General features: G+C 37.1%; 1 annotated feature.

Annotated features, from left to right (window-relative positions):
- Positions 21,902–21,961: an enhancer, noted in NCBI's record as "active region_25000". NCBI's record gives its function as "activates an Ori minimal core promoter by ATAC-STARR-seq in GM12878 lymphoblastoid cells {active_cell/tissue: GM12878}" and the evidence as "EXISTENCE:reporter gene assay evidence [ECO:0000049][PMID:35858748]".

Below are 22,551 nucleotides of genomic sequence, written 5' to 3'. Positions count from 1 at the left end.
TGGGCCATTGCTTTGAGTTGCAATTTTAGTATGGCAGGGTCACTTCGCAGTCTTCCATTTTGCATTTTGTACCATAACAGTTGGGGCACCAATGTGAGAATTCTAGAAAATTGATGGGTATTTCCATGATAACAACATACTTAGATACTAGGTAAATAACTTTGGGAAAGGATTAGATTTCTTTTGGGTTTACCATGAAGAATTAGGTTTCTATTAAGCATATTCAAGTTGAAATTTCATTTATTTTATGTCTTTTATTGATCACATTCTGACTGGTAAACTTCAGTGACATTCGGGGACTCATATTGGTTCAGAGCTGAGTCAGTATATAATATTCATGAAAGGGTATTTTTATTGCCCTATTTCCTACTACACAGTTACCTTGATAGATGGATGCAGATCCATTTCAACAAGATGAAAATGTATATTTATAGTTCTCTTGTGACAGCATTTAAGGGCCCTTCCTCAAGGATACATAGCCTCCTCTTCTTATTCAAATGGTACAGGGATTATATATTGACTCTGATTTAGGAATGGTTTTTCTTCATCAGACTAGGAAAGTTTTCTTTGTTTTATTATACACCATAAATATAACTTTACTGAGATTATCAATTCACCAACAATAAAGATTTCTTGGGGCCAATCAATTTTGATAGCTGCACTGGCTTTTCTATCTACTATGGTACCAAACTAACTTAGCTGCTGTAGGATAAGTGACACTATTTTGTTTCTGCCGTTCTGTGGCTTTCCAATCTTCGTGGTATTCAGAGAGCTCATTTCAACTTCATTGTCTCTTACCAGCATTTCCTGGCATACAACGAATAACTAAATAAAAAGCTTCTTAGAAATACTGGCTTGCCCCCTGCCAATGTGTATTTGAGACCCCAGAGAAGAACATGTATACATTCTGGTCCCTCTCAAGGGTCAAAGAGGATGGGTAAATAAGTAATGCATTATAAATTCATGCCAACATTCCTCTCTCTCAAACTCATTATATTTTCCCTCACATTTAATGAAAATCAAAATACCTAATGTAAATGATGAGTTGATGGGTGCAGCAAACCAACATGGCATATGTATACCCATGTAACAAACCTGCACATTGTGCACCTGTGCCCCAGAACTTAAAGTATAGTAATAAAAATAATTTTAAAAGGAAAAAAAAAAGAAAATCTCTGTCACATACATTTAGAATAAGCCACAGTTAAGACCAGGTAAACATAAACCATTCACGTGAGTATTAGAATTATGTCCAGATGCTAATTTGGGGTATGAGCCTTCTCTTCAAGTCTTTGGTTTAATAATAGCTTCTCTAGGGCATTCATGGATATAACTCAACTGAAAAGACTTAAAGTACAAAAGTGACATATACATGAAAACTCCTTGAGATGAGGAAATTACAATGCTTTTACATCATGCTGTAATTTGATGTCAAAGTTTAATTCAAAAAATGGAAAACCACTCTAGATATTTTAAGCAGAAAAAGAAATCATTGGAGGAGTGGAAATCATGACTTCTGGCTTGAGGTAGAGTAGAAACATCACAGTTGTGATCCAGAAGTCAGGAATGCCTGCTGCTGCCCATATACCCTTGCTCCCTCCACCCATGAAGCTGGTGACAGATAATGGAACCTAACGTCCAGCTTCTGCAAAGAGTCACATCTGTTGGCACTAAAATATATACTTACCCTATCTTCTATAACTTATGTGCATCAAATTGGTAGATTTAGAGAGATACAGTTTTTAGCTTTTAAATGTCTCTGGGTTAACTACCTTCTCCACCCTGCCTTATGTCCTGAGACTTTGACTTGTTTTAATAAGTTTCCTTCTCCAGTGACTTACAAATTGATCTGGACAAACTCAGGTGCCAGGAGTAGATAGATGACAAAGCAATGAGGTCAGAGTGTTTATTCACTCCCCTAGTCCCTCCCCATGAGGTTATTGAGAGTTGGCTGCATTATTTTTACCAAAACCTGCTGCTCCTATCTGGTAGCCCTTTCTTTCTCTGCATTCTGATAACTTCTCTATCTCTGCACATCTTCAAGTTTATAAGTGGTAATGGCACCCAGTTCTTACAAATGCTGTGGTATTGTGGTTTTCCCTGCACATGCTTTTGTCAATAATCCCTTTATTAAATTCTCAAATTACTTAGTTTGTGCCATTCGTTTCCTGCCTGAAAACCAAATGGTTTATTATCCACATTCAAGTGTAGCAAAATAGCATGTGAGGGAAACCAGTGTAAGTTTCATCAGGTGTATGGGATATGCCTGATGACACCCAGGTTAAAATTTGGATTTTTGTTTTTGCTCCTATAGCCATATGTAATGAAAAGATGAGTTTTTTGTTTTTTTTTAAGTCATGAACATGGAAATTCCTTAGATCTCACTCTGTTTCTTGAATTGAAAAGATGGTTTGCTGTTCTCCTTATTTAAGCTGTCCAGAATTGTTAGAAGCACTTACCTCAATTGCAGACCTTGAATTTCTCATGCTGTTTATAGTAAAAGGTGGCAGCTACAAGGCAGGCCCCAAAGCATTGCATTTAGTGGGCAGGCTTTTCCTGAGATAAAGTGGGGCTCAACCCATGGCAGATGTGGTTGCCATTAGACAATTATCCTTGATCTAAAATTTACACTAGATGTTAAACTCTTTCTAAGACTGCAACTTGAGAAAGACAAGGAAAAATCACAATTATATAAACAGACAAATGGGGAGACAATCTTAGAGTAAGAGTAGTATTTGGCAGGGAAAATTGTGCAATTTCTGTGGAAACTACTAGGAAATTCTTTTCCTTCCTGTCTAAGATTTCTTCCTTGAAGTTTTAAAGAAAGCACAAAACAATTTTATTAGGTTTTTTTTAGCAGACTTTTTTGAAAATTAGTAATTTATTCACTAAACTTATGGTTATATTTCCAGTCAATGTAAAATATGGATAGAGTAGGACATACAGAGAAATAGATATTCCAGAAAAATACATAAATATTTAGAATACAAGACAGTTGATGCTAAAAGTAATATGAGTAACTCAGATAATAACTTGATGAAGTCTTTATAAATTATATTATACCTGGGTTACTTTACACATTATGCTTATAGTAGATCATTATAATACATCGACAGTGTTTTAAAATCACCACACAGCTAAAATAGAAAAATAATCCTGACAAACAACATGCCTTAGGCAATAAGAAAAGAAAACGAGAAATTTTCAGTAAAGTTTTGCTAAAATGCACTGTAGCATTTGCCCACTACAGATAACCACCAATGTTTTTTTCTCTCTGGTAAATGCTGCTTTGGGAGGAGAATCAGGAGCACTACCCACTGCACTTGCTTTGAACAACTCTTCCATTACTAGAACGATAACAATATTTAAGTGGTTTCCTTTCCCTTGCATATTGCCACTAGATTTAATAGCCTTAGATCTTTCATAACATGAAAACAACTTTTAAAAGCAAAGGCTGCCTTGAACTTTGTATTTTATCAAATGGAAATTCTTATGTGTATTTCTGAACCCTCTTGGCTTGTACTTCTTGAAGGACAAAGAGGATGCAGATGCTGGTCTGTTAACTAGGTGTTTTTTGTTGTCATTGCTTTTTCTTTAAAAGCAAAACAAAACAAAACAAGTCAGTCGGTTGTGTAGTTCTCATGATGAACTTCTGGGTCTTGGCCAACCAGTTCTGAGGAAAGCCATCTCTAAATGTTGGATTGGCCTGCATAGCCTCACATTTATATCCTACTGTTTGCTTATCAGCCCCAAAACTAACAAAGAGAGCCTCTCCTGAGATTGCTGGGGCTGCTTCTCATGAAGTATGGGGAGGTTTCTCGCATCCCCCGCTAGCCTTGTGTAATCTTTCTCTCTACTAGGTTCTTTCCCTGTCAGTATTTAGGTGTGCCCAATTTTCTCCTAAGTTAAAAAACAAAACAAAAACCCTCCTTCAACCTTATATGTATCTATAACTACTCCCTGGGAAGAGTGGTGTAGTTTCTTCTTCGATTTCTCAATTCTCACTTATCTTCAACCCCTGTAACTGCTTTCCCTCTTCCCCAAACAAAAACACCAAGGTCAACAGTCACTTTCTTACACAAATCAAATGACCTCTTTACAGTCCTTATCTAGTTGAACTGATTAGCAGCATTTGAAACAGTGACTACTCTAACATTATGGAAATAATTTTTCTCATAGCTTGAATTATATCACACTAAAAAGATTTTTTTTTTTTTTTTTGCAAAGAATGTGAGCTCTGGATCCAGAATGCCTGGTTTCAAATCTCAGCTCCCCTACTTAGTAGCTATGTAACCCTAGACATGTTTCATAATTCTTTAGCTCCTCAATTTCTTCTACCATGGGGAATATGCTGGAGTTATTGTAGTGATAAAAGATATTAAATCTAAAAGCACTTAGAACAGTGCTCAACAGGCTTATAAGTTTTCAATAAATGTTAGTTATTATGATTGATTGATTCTTTCCCCCCATAAAAAGTGTTCTACCTGCAGTCTTCCTCAAATCCTGGCCAATGAGATTAAATGCTTGACAGTTTTACTTTGAAAGCCAGATTTGGTGGACTAGACCATAGAATTTACATAAAGGAGACCCATGTAGGAAGAGGAATTGAAGGAATCCCCGTCTTATCAAAGAAGGCTAAAGCAGAGTCAGAAATGAGTGAAGCCGATAGAGATATGTTCAAATTTCTGAATTGAAGAAGTGTTAGGTAAGTTAGATGGAGAGTGATTTTAATGGGCTGTGAACTTCACTTTTTGGCCACTCTGAATTCTTGGGTGGTATGGATGAGATCTAAAACTTCCTCCTGCTCCAGTGCACATCCTGCCCCAGGAGGACCTAGGGGTTAAGTTGGGAGCCCTTGGCTGGTCACGGTGCAGGCTAATGCGACCCACAGCAGAGGCTGGGGTGGACTACCCGGCCTAGGATGCCTGAGGAGGAGCTGCAAGAGACTCAACTGTTTGTAGCACCACTGAGAACCCTGAGGAATGCTGTCAGTCCAAGTGCGTTGCTAGCTCTGACAAAGCTGAGAGAGAACAGATTTTGAGTTAGATTAGCAGCTGGCTTTAGCATTGGAGGCAAATTGAGTGCTAGCAACTGGGGGAAGGGGGCAGTGTGGGGACGCTGCTTGGATCTTAGGACCTTTTTGTTCTGAAGTCATAAGTTCACCTGAGACCTGATGATTAATTTTCCTATATACCTCTTGAATCTCTCTTATTCCTGGAATAGGAACCTTCACTTATTGCCTGGATTCTTGCAATAATAATTAGTCCATCTCTTTCCAGGCTTGCCGCTTGCAACCCATTTATAACATTGTGGGCAGAGTGAGATTTCCTTTTTCTTAGGCTATCTTAAAAACATGCTATGGTCTGCATCTCTCTAAAATTCATATGTTGAAATCAAATCCCCTGTGCAAATAGTATGAAGAGGTAGGTCCTTTAGGAGATGATCAGGTCACAAGGGCAGAGTCCTCATGGATGGGATAAGTGCCTCTATAAAAGAGGCCCAAGGGAGTTTGCTTTCTCTTTCCACCACATGATGACGTACCTGTTTGTTATTTATAAGCCACCCAGTTTATGGTTTTTTGTTATAACAGCTCAAACAGACTAAGAAAAACTACAAATCTAACTATGTGACTTTTCAACTAAATCTCTTCAGAGGCATCCTTCTTTTTCCTCAGAAAGCGAGATTCCTACATATGGCTTATGGGATCCTTTAGAACTGGCTGGCTCTTCCAGCCTCACTCCTTTTCCTCTCCTTTCCTGTCGTCTACATTCTCACTCTATTGAGCTATTGTTGGTTTCTCCATTCTGCCATGCTGACCCCAGTGCCTCTGTGCATGATGTTTCCTCTTCCAAGAACACAGTTTTTGCACACTTGCTTGTGCCTTTACCTGGATAAACGTATAATTATTCTTCATGCTTTTTGCATAGACCTTTTCTGACTCCCTGAATCCTGGTTAAGGTCTCTCTCCTATGTGCTCTCATAGCATAATATATTTTCCTTACCACAGTGATCAGCATTGCCCACTACCATTTATGTTCTAGAGGAATTGTTGAGATTTTGATTAAACTCAGTGTTAACATTCTTTTATCTCACCTCAGCTTGGGACCACAGAGAAAAGGAGACAGAGGAGTCAAACTTTTCTGTCCTCAATTTTTGACCTTTAAAACTATATTGCAGAACATGGCTTACATGAGGACAAATGGGACAAACTCTCCCTTGAACTGGTTATATTCAAAATGCCATGCATACTGTTAGGCCAAGAGCAGATGATGACAGTGGGAAGTTGAATACCTAAGACAGAGAAGAAGCCAACTGTCTTCATCTGTGTGGGCTGCTAAAACAAAATACAAGTGGCCTATAGACAGCACAAATTTATTTCTCACAGTTCTGGAAGCTGGAAAGCCCAAAATCAAGGCTCCAGTAGATTTGGTGTCTGGTGAGGGTCTACTTTCTGATTCATAGATGGTGCCATCTCGCTATGTCCTCATATAGTGGATGAGGCAAGGGCTCTCTCTGGGGCCTCTTTTACAATGGCACTAATCTCATTAATGAGGGCTCTACCCTCATGACCCAGTCACTTTCCAAGGTCCCACCTCCAAATATGATCACAATGGGGATTCGATTTCAACATATGAATTTGGGGGGGACATAAACATTCAGACCGTAGCACCAACCTACATACTTCCAGGTCCCTTCTCAGAAACTCTCCAATCAAGGAAGTCATTCTTACATCTTGAGAGAGGAGAGTAAGGAGATGGGACCAGAATCCAGGAGTATTATCTTAATGGAGTGCCCATATGCCACTTGGAAACATAAAACTGGCAGAGGATGACACCAATCCCCAACCTCCTCAAAAGAAGGACTACGTCCTGTTCAATGTCATTTCTCTTCCACATAGCATAATGTATGGCATGAGTTGATAGCTACAGTGAGTATTCATTGGCCATATAAGCATCATCAATAGTTTTAGTGTAGACTTGCCTACATAGAAGATCTGGGCCAGTGACCTCTTGGGATTTCTTTTCATTGTCATGATCTTAAGGTTAACTTCTGAGTGGCTGCATTTTTCACACTGTGTTACTGTATAAAGATAACAATTTGGTGCCCTACAGTTATAATTTAGTCAGCATATTTTGTCTGGTCTGTCCAAGATTTTAGAAGATTTTGATTTAGGACATCAGAAAATTTTCAGGAACTCATGAGTTTCCATTGTATCTTTAAAAGTCAGGAGATACTGTCTTAAAATAAGCTTGCCTTCCGAAATGCCATGCACAGACCATTTGAGAGCTAAGCAGCAGTTAGTTGCTCCTTTAAATGCGGCATGCCCTTGCATGTGGGCCTCAGTGACCCGCCCCCTGCCCTTATTGTCTTATACCAAACCTCATTCTTTGTGGTTATATTTCCTGATGGCTTCTATAATGGTTTGATTGTATGACTCTTGTACAATGTTTCAGACAAATTACAAATGTGGGTCTTCCCTGGAATATTCAAAGTAATTTTTCTCTAAAATGCATTGTATATATTTTATTCTCCCATTTGAAAATTCAATGGCTGTAATTAACAAGATTCATTGCTATGGAATGAATCTTGCTAACAGGATTCATTGATATGGAATGAGTCTTTAAAATGATTAAAGTATGATTTGACTTGAAAACAATTCATTTTAAGAATCTTTAAGGTAGCTCATCTATTACATAAAGCAAGGCATATTTGATCATGGAAAAATTACTTGATTTCTTGATTACTTGATTAAAAGAATTTAGTCCTCTTGCTATCCTTGTAGCTTGTCCTTAGGTATGATTTAAGACTTCCCTTTGCCTGACAATTTGTCTGAAAGGTGGTAATGCTATTCTTCTAAAATAAGGGCAGTGATTCATATTGGCTGGGGTAAATGGTGTATTTGCAACATGCTTTGAGTTTCTCTTATCAAAGGAGCTATACAAATTCTCTGAAAGGAGTAACAGGATAATTGTGATCCTATGATCATAGAAACTCATATCACATATGAGGAAGCAAAATGAGTATTTATAATAAAAGCATTCACAAGGATTCATGTAATTCAGAACCAAGGTAAAAGGGTCTCATGTCAGAAATAGCACTAATAAAAGCCAGATCATTATAGAGGTTGTTTAATTAATTCTTTACTCTGAGGAGAAATGCCATTGACACTTCATTATTTTGATACTGAAACCACAATTGGGGGCTTTTAAAATGTGTATATGAAACCACAAATAGATCCCCTCGGTTCTTTGTGAAGAGAGCTTCTATTTCTCTATTCAAAAGCACTGTCTGCTTGGTATGTCCTTGCAGTTCTCTCCTAATATATTTTTGCACTTTGCCCCTGGGGGTCTATGTTTATGTGAATTGTTATGTGCTGTTTTCAGAATTTAAAAAATCGTATCTTTGGAATAGGATGGGAAGTGTTCTGAAAACTAGGTTACCAGTAATTTTTTGAAATCATTTCATTCAAAGAAAAATGATACTCAGAAAAGATTCTTATAATAAATTACTGTTTGATAGAATGCAGAACAATCCCAAACCCAAGGATTTTATTATGTTTATAGTTTCTGCTTATTACTTCAAATACTTTATATACATTATGCTTAAGAGATGGTGATTTTCTATAAATTTGTTCATTAAAAAGATGAATCTTTAAGACCAAGAAAGTGATTTAAAAACTACAAGTTTGTATTCTTAAGCTCTTTTTGTTTGTGTGTTTTTAAATTATGTTTCAAAAAGGCAAATTATTCATTTGTATAGCTTTTTCCAAGAAATCCTCCTTTGGACATATTTTTAATTCGTGTTTAGGAAGGCAGCTGTAGATATAAAATAGTCTTTCTTTGAATTTACATTTTCTTCTCACTATCTTTATATCCAATATTGATCATAAGTGAATCTTTAATTGTTGCATGTCTGGTAGAAATAAATTGTATAAAGCATTGTAAAAGATATGGGAAAGTTAGTAAGTGATAGTAAGAATAAGGTAATAAACATTTTTGGCACACATTATCAATCATTTAACCCTGAAATATATTTTAATCTTTCATTCTGTATTCGGTTTCTGAAAACTGGGCAAAAGTTATAAATCGCAGAATGGGCCTGGCAACAATCAAACTAAGGAGTAAATCTAATGAATGACTTTTGTAATTCAGGGTTTAATTCAGAGTGATCCACATCACTGTTCAAACTGCTCTCCTCTTGCATCCTCTGCATTGGGGAACAGCCCAAAACGGACATATCTCCCAAGTCTGAAGCCCTAAGGTCATCTTTGGTTCTCCCCTTGCTGAGACCTCCCACATCAAATGGGTTAAAACACATTGTCAGTTCTACCTCCCTCAGTATCTGCACAGATTTGATTCCTTCATCTCTCACACTATCTGCTGGAATAACACCTATTGGCCTTCCTGCTTCCAGTGTTATTTTTTTCCTACCAATCGATTTGGTATGTTACTGCCAGTGTATAGAATTTTAATAAATCAAATTGTAAAACATACAAGTACAAAATAACGGTACAACTCAACGAATTTTAACAAAGTGGACATACTCATGTAACCGTATTTAAATAAGGAAAAAAAATTATCAGCACTTTTAAAGGTCACTGGGTATAGTATTATATAAATACTATGTAGGTCAAGTTAATACTGCTGATCGAATTATCTATGGCCTTACTGATTATTTTTTGTTTTAGTCACTCATCAGTTGCCAGTAAAGGAATATTAAAATCTCCAACTATGATTGCAGAATTATTCATTGCTTCCCTTAATTCTGTCATTTTTGTCTTATGTATTTTTTATTTCTGTTGCTGAGCACATGCATATTTATTATTATTATATCTTTCTGATAAGTTGAAATTTTAATCATTATGAAATATCCCTTTTTATTGTTGGTAATACTATTTGTCTTGAAGTTCATAATTTCTGATATTAGAATAGTCTCTCTAGTTTTCTGATGCCTTCTATTTGCAAGGCATATTTTTTATATTAACTTCCAACCTAGATGTGTTATTATATTTAAAGTCTGTCTCATGTAGGCAGTATACAGTGGAGATTTTTAGTCTATTTTGATAATCTCTGCCTGTTAGTTGGAGTATGTAGTCTATTTGCATTTGTCACAATTACTGATGTGATTGGATTTATGTATACCACTTTATTATTTGTTTTCTGTTTGTTTGATTCTCCTGTTTCTCCTTTTCTTCCTTCTTTTGGATAATTTGAATAATTTTTAGAATTTCATTTCAACTTGTATACTGATTTTTAAGTTCTTTGCATTATTTTATGGGTTGCTGTAGTGATTACAATATACATTCTTGACTTTTACATTCTACTTATAGTCAATATTGTACTATTTCAATTAAAGGACAGAAATTGCAACAATATAGGTCAATTTATCCTTACTCTTTTGTAAGGATATATGACAACTTGCCATAGTTGTCATATATTTAAGTCTACATACATTATAAATCCACAAAAATATGTTTTAATTTTGTTTTAAACAGTCCTGTGTTTTATACAGAAATTAAAGGAAAAACAATGTTTTATTTTCTCAGATATTTACCTTTTTAATGCTTCCCTCCTTCCTGAAGATATAATGTGGTAGTTCTTCTCAGTCTAAAGAGCTTATTTTTGCTATATCTTATATGACAGGTCTTCTAGTAATGAGTTTTCTTAGCTTTCTTATATCTGAAAATATCTTTATTTTGCCTTTATTCTCAAGGGATATTTTTGTTGCATATAAAATTCTGGTTGGCAGCTTCTCTCTCTGCACTTTGAACATGTTGTACTGTCTTCTATTCTCCATAGTTTCTGAAGGCAGTGATAATTCAAATTGATGTTCCTCAATATGTAATGTGTTATTTATCTTTAGCTGCTTTCAAGAGTCTGTCTTTGATATTTAGCAGTTTGACTCTGACTGTCCTAGATGCTAAATATGGTTTTATTTGTAGTTGTCCTGCTTGCAGTTCACTGGACTTCCTGAATTTATGACTTTCACTACATTTGGGGAGGTTTTGGCCACTTTTTTTTTATCCCAGTATCTCTTTTTTTTGAGATTCCAATGATCATTTGTTAGATCTTTTGAAATCATCCCATCACTCCCTTGGAAGGCTATTCATTTTTTTTTTATTATTTTCTCTCTGTTCTTCAGGTTGGATAATTTTTATTGCTCTATTTTCTGAATCTGATTGTAAGTATACTTTCCATTCCTGGGTCACTTCACTTAGAATAATGGTCTCCAATTCCATCCAGGTTGCTGTGAACAGTGAATCTCTGTTTCTTTCTATTGTTGTCTTTACTCTGCTGTTAAGCTTGTCCAGTGTTTCTTTTTGTTTGTCTTTAGTTTAGATACTGTATTCTTGAGTTTTATAATTTGCACTTAGTCCTGTTTTTGTTAATAGTTTCTATTTCTTAACTGATATTTCCCATGCTTTCATTGATTGTCAGTATACTTTCCTTTATATCCTAGAGCACAGTTACAGTTGCTGTTTTAAATATTTGTCTTCTAATTCCAACATTTGGATCATCTCAGGGTTAGTCTCCATTAATAACATTTTCTCTTATGAATGAGTCATATTTTCCTGGTTCTGTAGATAATGAGATACATCTGTTATATCTATGGCAATGTGAATGTTATCTTGTGGAGACTGTAAAATCTGTTTTACTCATCCTTCAAGAATGTTTTATTAGACAATTAACCGATTGGACTCAAACATCATATTCTGTCTTTTGGGTCACAATGTAAATCTCAAATCAGCTCTTTTATTCTTTTTTCATTCTAGACTTTTTTTGCACATTTTAATTAATTTATTTATTAGTTCAATAGGCTTTTGGGAAACAGGTGGTGTTCATTTGCATTAATAAGTCCTTTAATGGTGATTTCTGAGATTCTGGTGCAACTATCACCCGAGCAGTGCACACTGTAAAAATTATGTAGTCTTGTTTTTTAGACAGCCTTGCTCTATTGCCCTGGCTGGAGTGCAGTGGTGTGATCTTGGCTCACTGCAACCTCTGCCTCCCACATTCAAGCAATTCTCATGCCTCAGCCTTCTGAGTAGCTGGGAGTACAGGCATGTGCCATTGTGCCCAGCTAACTTTTTATATTTTTAGTAGAGATGGAATTTCCCCATGTTTGCCAGGCTGGTATTGAACTCCTGGTCTCAAGTGAGCCTTGGCCTCCCAAAGTGCTGAGATTACAGGCATGAGCCACCATGCTCAGCCAATGTGTAGTCTTTTATCCCTCACCACCTAACACCCTTTCTCCCAAGTCTCCAAAGTCCATTGATTCATTCTTATGCATTTGCCTCTTCATAGCTTAGCTCTCACTTATGAATGAAAACATACGATATTTGGGTTTCCATTCCTGAGTTGCTCCACCTAGAATAACAGTCTCCAATTCCATCCAGGTTGCTGTGAATGCCATTATTTCATTCCTTTTTATGGCTGCATAGTATTCCATGGTGTTTATATATATCACAATTCCTTTATCCACTCATTGATTGATGGGCATTTGGGCTGCTTCCATATTTTTGCAATTGTGGATTGTGGTGCTATAAACATATTTCTGCAAGTATCTTTTTCATATGATAACTTCTTTTCCTCTGGGCAGATACCCAGTAGTGGGACTGCTGGATCAAATGATAGTTCTACTTTTAGTTCTTTAAGGAATCTCCACACTGTTTTCCATAGTGGTTGTACTAGTTTACATTCCCAACAGCAGTGTAAAAGTGTTACATTTTTGGCCAGGTATGGTGGCTGACACCTGTAATCCCAGCAATTTGGGGGGCTGAGGCGGGCAGATCACCTGAAATCAGGAGTTCAAGACCAGCCTGGCCAATGTGGTGAAACCCTGTCTCCGCTAAAAATACAAAAATTAGCCAGGCCTGGTGACGTATGTCTGTAATCCCAGCTACTCAGGAGCCTGAGGCATAAGAATTGTTTGAACCTGGGAGGCGGAGGTTGCAGTGAGCCAAGATCACACGCACCACTGCACTCCAGAGCAAGACTCCATCTCAAAAAAAAAAAAGAAAGAAAAAAAGGTTACCTTTTCACCACATCCATGCCAACATCTATTTTATTATTTTTTTTTATTATGGCCATTTTTCCAAGTGTAAGGTGGTATCACATTGTGGTTTTGATTTGCATTTCCCCAGTCATTAGTGATGTTGAGCATTTTTTCGTATGTTTTTTGGCTGTTTGTATATCCTCTTTTGAGAATTATCTATTCATGTCCTTAACCCACTTTTTGATAGTATTGTTTATTTTTTTCTTGTTGATTTGTTTGAGTTCTTCATAGATTCTGGATACTAATCCTTTGTGGGAAGTATAGATTGTGAAGATTTTTCTCCCACTCTGTTGGTTTTCTGTATACTCTGCTGATTATTTCTTTTGCTAAGCAGAAGCTTTGTAGTTTAATTAAGTCCCATCTATTTATCTTTGTTTTTGTTTCATTTGCTTTTGGGTTATTGGTCATGAAGTCTTTGCCTAAGCCAATGTCTAGAAGGATTTTTTCAAAGTTATGTTCTAGAATTGTTATGGTTTCAGGTCTTAGATTTAAGTTTTTGATCCATCTGGTGTTGATTTTTGTATAAAGTGAGAGATGAGGATCCAGTTTCATCCTTCTACATGTGGCTTGCCAAGTATCCCAGCACCATTTGTTGAATAGGGTGCCCTTTCCCCACTTTGTTTCGCTTTGCTTTGTCTAAGATAAGTTGACTGTTAAGTGTCTGGCTTTATTTCTGGGTTCTCTATTCTGTTCCATTGGTCTACATGTCTATTTTTATACCATGTATTTTATACCATGTATACAACATGTTTATACCATGTTGTTTCAGTGGTCTTATAGTATAGTTTGAAGTCAGGTAATGTGATGCCTCCAGATTTGTTCTTTTTGCTTAATCTTGCTTTGGCTATGTGGGCTCTTTTTTGGTTCCATTTCACTTTTAGAATAGTTTTTTCTAGTTCTGTGAAGAATGATGATTGTATTTTGGTGGGAATTGCATTGAATTTGTAGATTGCTTTTGGCAGTGTGCTCATGTTCACAATATTGATTCTACCCATTTGTGAGCATGAAATGTGTTTCCATTTGTTTGTGTCATCCATGATTTCTTTTAGCAGTGTTTTGTAGTCTTCCTTACAGAGGTCTTTCACTTCCCTAGTTAGATATATTCCTACGTGTTTTATTTTTTTGCAGCTATTGTAAAAGACGTTAAGTTCTTGATTTGATTTTCAGCTTAGTCGCTGTTGGTGTATAGCAGAGCTACTGATTTGTGCACATTAATTTTGTATCCTGAAACTTTGCTGAATTCATTTATCAGTTCTAGGAGCTTTTTGGAGGAGTCTTTAGGGTTTTCTAGGTATACAATCATATCAACAGCAAATGGTGAGAGGTAAATTGTTTACCAATTTGGATGTCTTTTATTTCTTTCTCTTGTCTGATTGCTCTGGCTGGGACTTGAAGTACTATGTTGAATAGAAGTCATGAGAGTAGGCATCTGTAGACTTCCAGTACTATGTTAGATAACAGTGGTGAGAGAGAGTATCCTTGTCTTGTCTAGCTTTCAGGGGGAATGCTTTTGTGTCTGGAATTGGGGGTTCTTGGTCTCACTGACTTCAAGAATGAAGCCGCAGACCCTCGTGGTGAGTGTTACAGTTCTTAAAGGTGGCGTGTCCGAGTATGTTCCTTCTGATGTTCAGATGTGTTCAGAGTTTCTTCCTTCTGGTGGGTTCGTGGTCTCGCTGGCTCAGGAGTGAAGCTGCAGACCTTCGTGGTGAGTGTTACAGCTCATAAAGGCAGTGTGGATCCAAAGAGTGAGCAGCAGCAGGATTTATTGCAAAGAGCAAAAGAACAAAGCTTCCACAGTGTGGAAGGGGACCGGAAAGGGTTGCCACTGCTGGCCGGGGCAGCCTGCTTTTATTCTGTTATCTGGCCCCACCCACATCCTGCTGATTGGTAGAGCCGTGTGGTCTGTTTTGACAGGGCGCTGATTGGTGCATTTACAATCCCTGAGCTAGACACAAAGGTTCCCCAAGGCACCACCAGAGTACCTAGATAGTGTTGATTGGTGCATTCACAAACCCTGAGCTAGACACAGGGTGCTGATTGCTGTGTTTACAAACCTTGAGCTAGATACAGAGTGCCCATTGGTGTATTTACAATTCCTGAGCTAGACACAAAGGTTTCCCAAGGCCCCACCAGAGTAGCTAGATACAGTGTTGATTGATGCATTCACAAACCCTGAGCTAGACAAAGGGTGCTGATTGTTTACAAACCTTGAGCTAGATACAGAGTGCCGATTGGTGTATTTACAATCCCCGAGCTAGACACAAAGGTTCTCCAAGGCCCCACCAGACTCAGGAGCCCAGCTGGCTTCACCCAGTGGATCTCGCACTGGGGCTGCAGGTGGAGCTGCCTGCCAATCCCGCGCCATGCGCCCGCACTCCTCAGCCCTTGGGTGGTCGATGGGACTGGGCTCCGTGGAGCAGGGAGCGGCGCACATCGGGAGGCTCCCGGCGCACAGGAGCCCACTGAGCCGGTGGGAGGCTCAGGCACGGTGGGCTGCAGGTCCCCAGCCCTGCCCCTTGGGAAGGCAGCTAAGGCCGGCGAGAAATCGAGCGCAGCGCCGGCGGGCTGGCACTGCTGGGGGACCCAGTACACCCTCCGCAGCCGCTGGCCCGGGTGCTAAGCCCCTAATTGCCCAGGGCTGCAGGGCCGGCCGGCTGCTCACGGGGCCCGCCAAGCCCACGCCCACCCGGAACTCCAGCTGGCCCGCAAGCGCCGCGCGTAGCCCCAGTTCCCGCTCGCGCCTCTCCCTCCACACCTCTCTGCAAGCTGAGGGAGCCGGCTCCGGCCTTGGCCAGCCTAGAAAGGGGCTCCCACAGTGCAGCGGTGGGCTGAAGGGCTCCTCAAGTGCTGACAAAATGGGAGCCCAGGCAGAGGAGGCGCCGAGAGCGAGGGAGGGCTGTGAGGACTCCCAGCACGCCGTCACCTCTCACTTTCAACTCTTCCGCATTCAGTATTATGTTGGCTGTGGATTTGTCATAGATGGCTTTTATTACCTTAAGGTATGTCCCTTCTATGCTGATTTTGCTGAGGGTTTTAATCATAAAGTGGTGCTAGATTTTGTCAAATGTTTTTTCTGCATCTATTGAAATGATCATGTGATTTTTGTTTTTAATTCTGTTTATGTGGTGTATCACATTTATTGACCTATGTATGTTAAACCATCCCTGCATCCCTGGCATGAAACCCACTGAATCATGGTGGATTATCTTTCGGATATGCTGTTGGATTCGGTTAGCTAGTATTTTGTTAAGGATTTTTGCATCTATATTCATCAGGTATATTGGTCTGTAGTTTTCTTTTTTTGTTACGTCCTTTCCTGGTTTTGGTATTAGGGTGATACTGGCTTCATAGAATGATTTAGGGAGGATTCCCTCTTTATCTTGTGGAATAGTGTCAACAGAATTAATACCAATTGTTCTTTTAATGTCTGATAGAATTCAGCTGTGAATTTGTCTGGTCCTGGACTTTTTTGTTGGCTATTTTTTTATTACCATTTCAATCTCACTGCTTATTATTGGTCTGTTCAGAGTTTCTATTTCTTCCTGGTTCAATCTAGGAGGGTTATATATTTCCAGAAATTGGGGCCCTTAAACAAAACAATTATCACTCAAGAATTTTATATCCAGTGAAACTAAGCTTCATAAATGAAGAAAAGATATAGTCATTTGCAGATAAAAAAAATATTAAGAGAATTCACCACTACCAAGCCAGCACTACAAGAACTGCTAAAAGGAGCCTTAAATCTTGAAACAAATTCTTGAAATATGCCAAAACAATTATTTTATTCTTATCCAGAATCTATCCATACATTATTTTGTTGGTTCATGTGTGGTTCAAGGGTCACTCGGAAACTTGGGCAGAGTTTATAGACAGAATTTGGGGTTCCCCTCTCTGGTTTTTTATTTATGGGATTTCTTTCTAATTTGCCAGTGGCTATGGTTGCCTGGAACTTTGTCTTGGTTGTTCACACTAGAAAGACTATGGATTTTCTCTCAGAATTCCAGCTTCCCATAGAATAACAAACTTCGTCTACTTGCATACTTTATTCTTTTATGCATTTTTAATCTTCAGTCAGAGATCATTTCCCTTTAACTGAAAAACTCCTTTTAGTTTTCTTTTAGAGAGTCTCTGTTGGTGACAAATGCTCTCAATTTTTATTTGCCTGAAATGTCTTTATCTAACCTGCATTTTCTAAAGAGCTTTACTTTATGGTGGCAGATGTTTTCTTATAGCAGTTGGAGTATGTCATTTCTTTTCTTCTGATTTCTATTGCTTTATGAGAAATGTTAATTGTTGTTTTTGAGGTAATATGTAGTTTTCTCTGACTGCTTTTAAAACTTTTCTCTTGTGTTTAATTTTTCAGAAGTTCTATTATAAAGTGCCTAGATGGGATTTTTTTGTACTTTTCATATTGAGTTTGTAAGTTTTCTTGAATATTTTATTTGATATCTTTCTTCAGTTTTGTTTCTGTACTCTTTTCTACCTCCTTCTTTTCTGGGGCTCCAATTATATTCATGTTGTTCCTTTTCATTATGTAAGAGACTAGAAGGCAGTCTTGTATTGGCTCAATCCCTCATTAGATTCAGATAATGTATACCTACATTAACTACTTACCTTTAATCAAACAAAATCCTTCATGAAGGAAAATAATACCTTTCAGAGATTCTGGAATTTTTCATATACAATTTCTTGGTTTTAATAGAAAATTATAAGGCAAACCAAGAGACAGTAGGAAGAGAAAAAAAAGACAATAGAAACAAACTGCCAGACTATGATATTGCCAGTTTTCATATGTCTCCTATGATCTTTTCTGTTTTTTTCTATTTTTTATTCTAGATATTTTCCATTAATCTGCTTTCTAGATAATGAATACTCTGCAACTGTGACCAATCTGCTGTCTTATCCACCTTTTGTCTTCTTAATTCAATTTTGGTTTTATTCAGTTTAGAATTTCCATTTGATGCTTTCTTGTAGACAGAAGTTCTTTGATGAAGTTATCACTCTTGCCATCTATTTTCTTGACCATAGTAATCATAGATATAAAATTTTCTAATACCTGGATTCCCTGTGAACCAGCTTCTATTGTTTTCTTTTTCTTCACTCCTTGTTGTCTCTTGGTTTGCTTGGTAATTTTTTATTAAAATTCAGACATTGTTTATAAAAAAATCCAGATCTCTAACTGTTATTATTTTCTTCCATGAAGGATTTTGTTTGATTAATCACAGGCATTTAATTTAGGTATATATTACTTTAATCAGGAATTGAGCCAATTTAAGACTACCTTCCAGTCTTGTAAGGCCTTGTCTGTATTTTTAATTTGCTGTTACTGAGTAGTCCTTTTGGGTTCCCAGCTGAAAGCTCTGGATGTTTACCAAGGCTCCCCTTCCCTGATAGTTTATGAAGTCCAATTTTTATATCTCCAGCATTATGATATTGACAGTAGATCTGTTCAGGTTTTCAGCCTCCTGGAAGTTCCTTTATGCTTTTCTTCTCAGACTCTCCATCTGCACTGCTTTTGATTTCAATGATGGTCTCAATAGACAAAGAGGCTCAGCTTATTGGGCACTTGTCTCTTCCTCCCCTTCTTGTATGTTGGCACCTCCTCCAGATCCATCATTCCTAATGATCCCATTTAAATCTTACCTTCCAGAAAAACTTACTAGTTTTCATTGCCCAAACATGCTTCTCACACCTCTTCTCTGCTGAGAACCTCAGTTCCATGTTAGCTTGATTGTTAAACATGTACTACTTGGTTTTTTTTTTTTTTTTTTTTAACAGAGCCCCCTGTTCTTTTTTTTTATTATTATACTTTAAGTTCTAGGGTACATGCACGCAAGGGTAACTGGTAACTTCTGTGAGGCTACATACCCATATTGTCACCCACTTTGGACTTCTTTATACTCAGTACATATTTCTTTCATAGCACTTTATTAAAACATGTATGTAGGAATAGATAAATAGATAAATGAAATCTTCTTCTATTAGGGACATTACTAGTCTGTAAAGTCCTTGAGGGAAGGACTCTCTTTATTTTTATATTCCTATTACCTAAGTATATTACATGGCTTATAGTGGAAGGTGAATAAATATCCATTGAATAAATGAAAACACTTTTAAAATATTTCTATTCCAACTTATCAAGTTGTTTCCACTGATAAAGCTTTATGATAGTCACCTGATGATTGTAGACTCTGAATGTTTGTTAATTAGATTTGCTAATTCTATTAGGTACACTTAATCTAAATAATCCATAAATTCCTAAAGCATCTTACTTCTAAAAAATGCACGTCTGAATCAATAAATCTAGCATCCTACGTGAGAAACAGGTAGGGTCTATACACAATTCTTTTGTTCTTGTTAATTTCTGTGTCTTGTTTTACCTAATTAGCAAGATTACTTAGAACAATTTACATTTTTCTGCAAAATTTGTTCATTTATTGTGAGACACCACCTCCTCAGAGAGGAGCCATATATAGATTGAGTTTAATAGATTTCATTATTTTAAGACTCCTTCAAAGCCTTTTTTGTAATATGTTTGTAAGAAATTAATATAAATAAACTTTTGAGAAAACAACCTTTGATCCTAGAATCTGAAAATCCAAGTCAGATATATTCAATTCTTCCAGCGCACTAAGGGAAGCACAGGTGATATTGGTTGTATTTACTTACTGCAATCCCAGAACATTTAACAGTTTGGCACATAGAAGGTTCACAACACATTTTTGTTGAACTTATGAATAAGTCAATGAGAAGTATTGAATAAAAGTCCTCCAGCCATTAACACACCAGAGATATAAATCTTCCTCTAACCTGTCAGTGTGACAATATTATAAAGAGCCCTGAAGAGGAAACTGAACATGATAGATTATTTCTTTTATTAATTTATTTTAGAAGTAAGATTTTAATGTAAAAACTATAAAATCTAAATAATTGTTTTAAGAAGATATAATTTAGTATTTGTATGACAATTCTAAACAACTTTATTCAACATGCTATTTCATCTTTTAAGCATATTCCTACACAAAATTTAAGCTGTTTATAGGAACCTTATCAAAGCTTTTTATATTGGAGTTACATGATTGGTTACCATAGCCATAAAGGTTTTCCAGGCCAAGGTAAATTGTTATATGCTTTCTGGTACATAACTTTGGAATGTTTGCTTAAATATTTGAGGAAATCCCTAAAGAAATATTCCTTAGAAAATGTTTGGTCCATTCTGTAACTGCTTCTATAACAAAGATATAATTCAGGCTAATTTGTTTCCATTACAAAATTTCAACTTTTAAAAAATTTACCTGGACTCTAAAAGCTTCCAATATATGTTCAGTGAATAGCAGAACATCTTTCTTTCAAGCACTTAACCATCTCAAACCATCAAGGGTGTGGCACAAAACCAGTGATGAATGTTGGAGTGTTCAGAAGCTATGAATCACAGTCACCTGTGCAGCATGATATAAACATTGATTCTCAGGCTTTATCTACTGAGATTCTAATTAAGGATTCCACAAATTTTTATATTTAAACAGAACTATGTTTATATTTAATGTTTATATTTAAACATATCTAAAACAGAAATGTGTACAATAATAAAATCATAGTGCTGAAGGGAAATTCATTCAACTCTAATTCATCTCAAATTTCAATTGGAAACACCAACTAAGCATCAGAGAGAGGCAAAACTCTTTCCCTTTTATAAATCCAATAGAAGTCCGTTAACCAATTTCTCTAACCATCGGTCACTTTAAGATTATTACCACCTTATTGTATACTATACATTACACCTTTGAAATGAAGACAGAATATTTTATATTAGAAGGTGAAAAATCTTTTTTTCAGGTATGTTCATTTTAGTCCACATTTGTGGAAATGGCAGGCTCTGGCCATTTTAGAGCAGGTGTTGCCTGATGAAATACACATTTGTAAACAGATTCTTGTCCTCTTCGTTACCGGTGGTTGTTATTGTCCAACAGAAACCTGTGAAAGCGTCTGCACTTTAGCTTGTTTACTGTGCATTCTTAATGCCTATGAATGCAAACAGGCAGATTAGGAAAATAGTCAACCGTTCCTTTTAGCAGAGTTTGTAAGTACCATGCAGATTGCACTTCAAATGCCTTCAGGTGTGGAAAGAACTGCAGCTCCTTTTGTGTAGTTGTGAGGACAATAATCAGTTTCAGACTAAAGAGGGACTAGCAAGACTTCCTCTTCTGATCAGACAGAGATAAGACTGAAACACTACCTGTCAGACTTTGCCCATGGTCCTTAGACAAAATGACAATCTTAATGGACTAAGGTAAGCTCATTTGCCTCGGAAGTGAAGGGAAACCCTTAACAATGAAACATTCCCAAAAACCAGGAAATTTAAGGCAAATATCAGAACACACAATTATTTATTGAATGAAAAGGAAACTGGTAGACAAGGGCAACGAACCTTCTGATACATAACAAAGATGAATGCTTTTTTTTTTTTTTCTATGCTTTAGGACACAGAGGGAGGGAGAAATCCAAGGTCTAGAGTTAGGCTTGAAGTGGGTATGTTGGAAAAGGAGTGTAAAGTATACACATACATTGTAACTGCTGACTTCCTTTATTAAAACCTGTCTACAGGCAACACTTGAAACTTACATATGGGGAGAGACTTCTTGAAGCTGATGTCAGATGCCTAAAAAGGAAGTGCAAATGGCCATCATCCTGGGTTGCACTGGGGATGACTTGTTGAAGCACGATGTCACCAAAGAGCAGTTTCGCATCAATAGCTTTCTTGGTCTCACACTGAAAAACCTACAGCGGAAATAGAATACTTCTGTTCTTTTACTGTGCACATGAAAGGAACAGAAAATAGGCAGGAGCTTTCTGACCCTTTAAAACAAGCTCCCAAGCACTTTACTCCTTTTGAAAACCCTGTGAAGTTTCCTCCTGACACACAAGTCCCAGTTGCATTGTATGCGGTGCATTAACGCAGCACTTGTTCTGCACTTCACCTGCTGCCTGGTTGAAATGTCCACCTTTGTGAGCCCTTTTTGTCAGGAGTCCTATTCTCCAGCTCAGCAATAGCGTATAGGTTGGGCCATTGCAGCCAGCATTTCATGCAGATTGACAATCGATTGACAGGTAGCCTGGGTTTTCTTCCCTGCTTTTCCATAAATAGTTTTGTGTTTCAAACAAGTCACTTTTCCTCCCTGGGCCTCTTGATCTATAAATCAAGAGAGTTGGACTGGTTGACTCTTCAGGTGCATTCTACCTCTATAATTTTCAATATCTATTTGGCAAAATAGTATCAGTAGATAATATTTATATTTGAAATCCTCCATTTTTCTTTTTGACAGCCTTTTAATATACTTTCACAGATGAGAACAACTTTCCAAGTGTTATTTATTTCTTTTAAAAAGTCAAACAGACTTTGTTCATGTGTAATTTAACATTTAATTGTGTAAAATTTGGTTTTCTTATATTCCCAAGAATCTAGCAATGACTTAGTAGAGTATCATCCAACTCAAA

This window comes from Homo sapiens, chromosome 6 (genome assembly GCF_000001405.40).
Source record: "Homo sapiens chromosome 6, GRCh38.p14 Primary Assembly".
NCBI lineage: Eukaryota > Metazoa > Chordata > Mammalia > Primates > Hominidae > Homo > Homo sapiens.
Note: the sequence above shows the minus strand (reverse complement) of the source record. Positions and strands in the feature narration are given on the sequence as shown.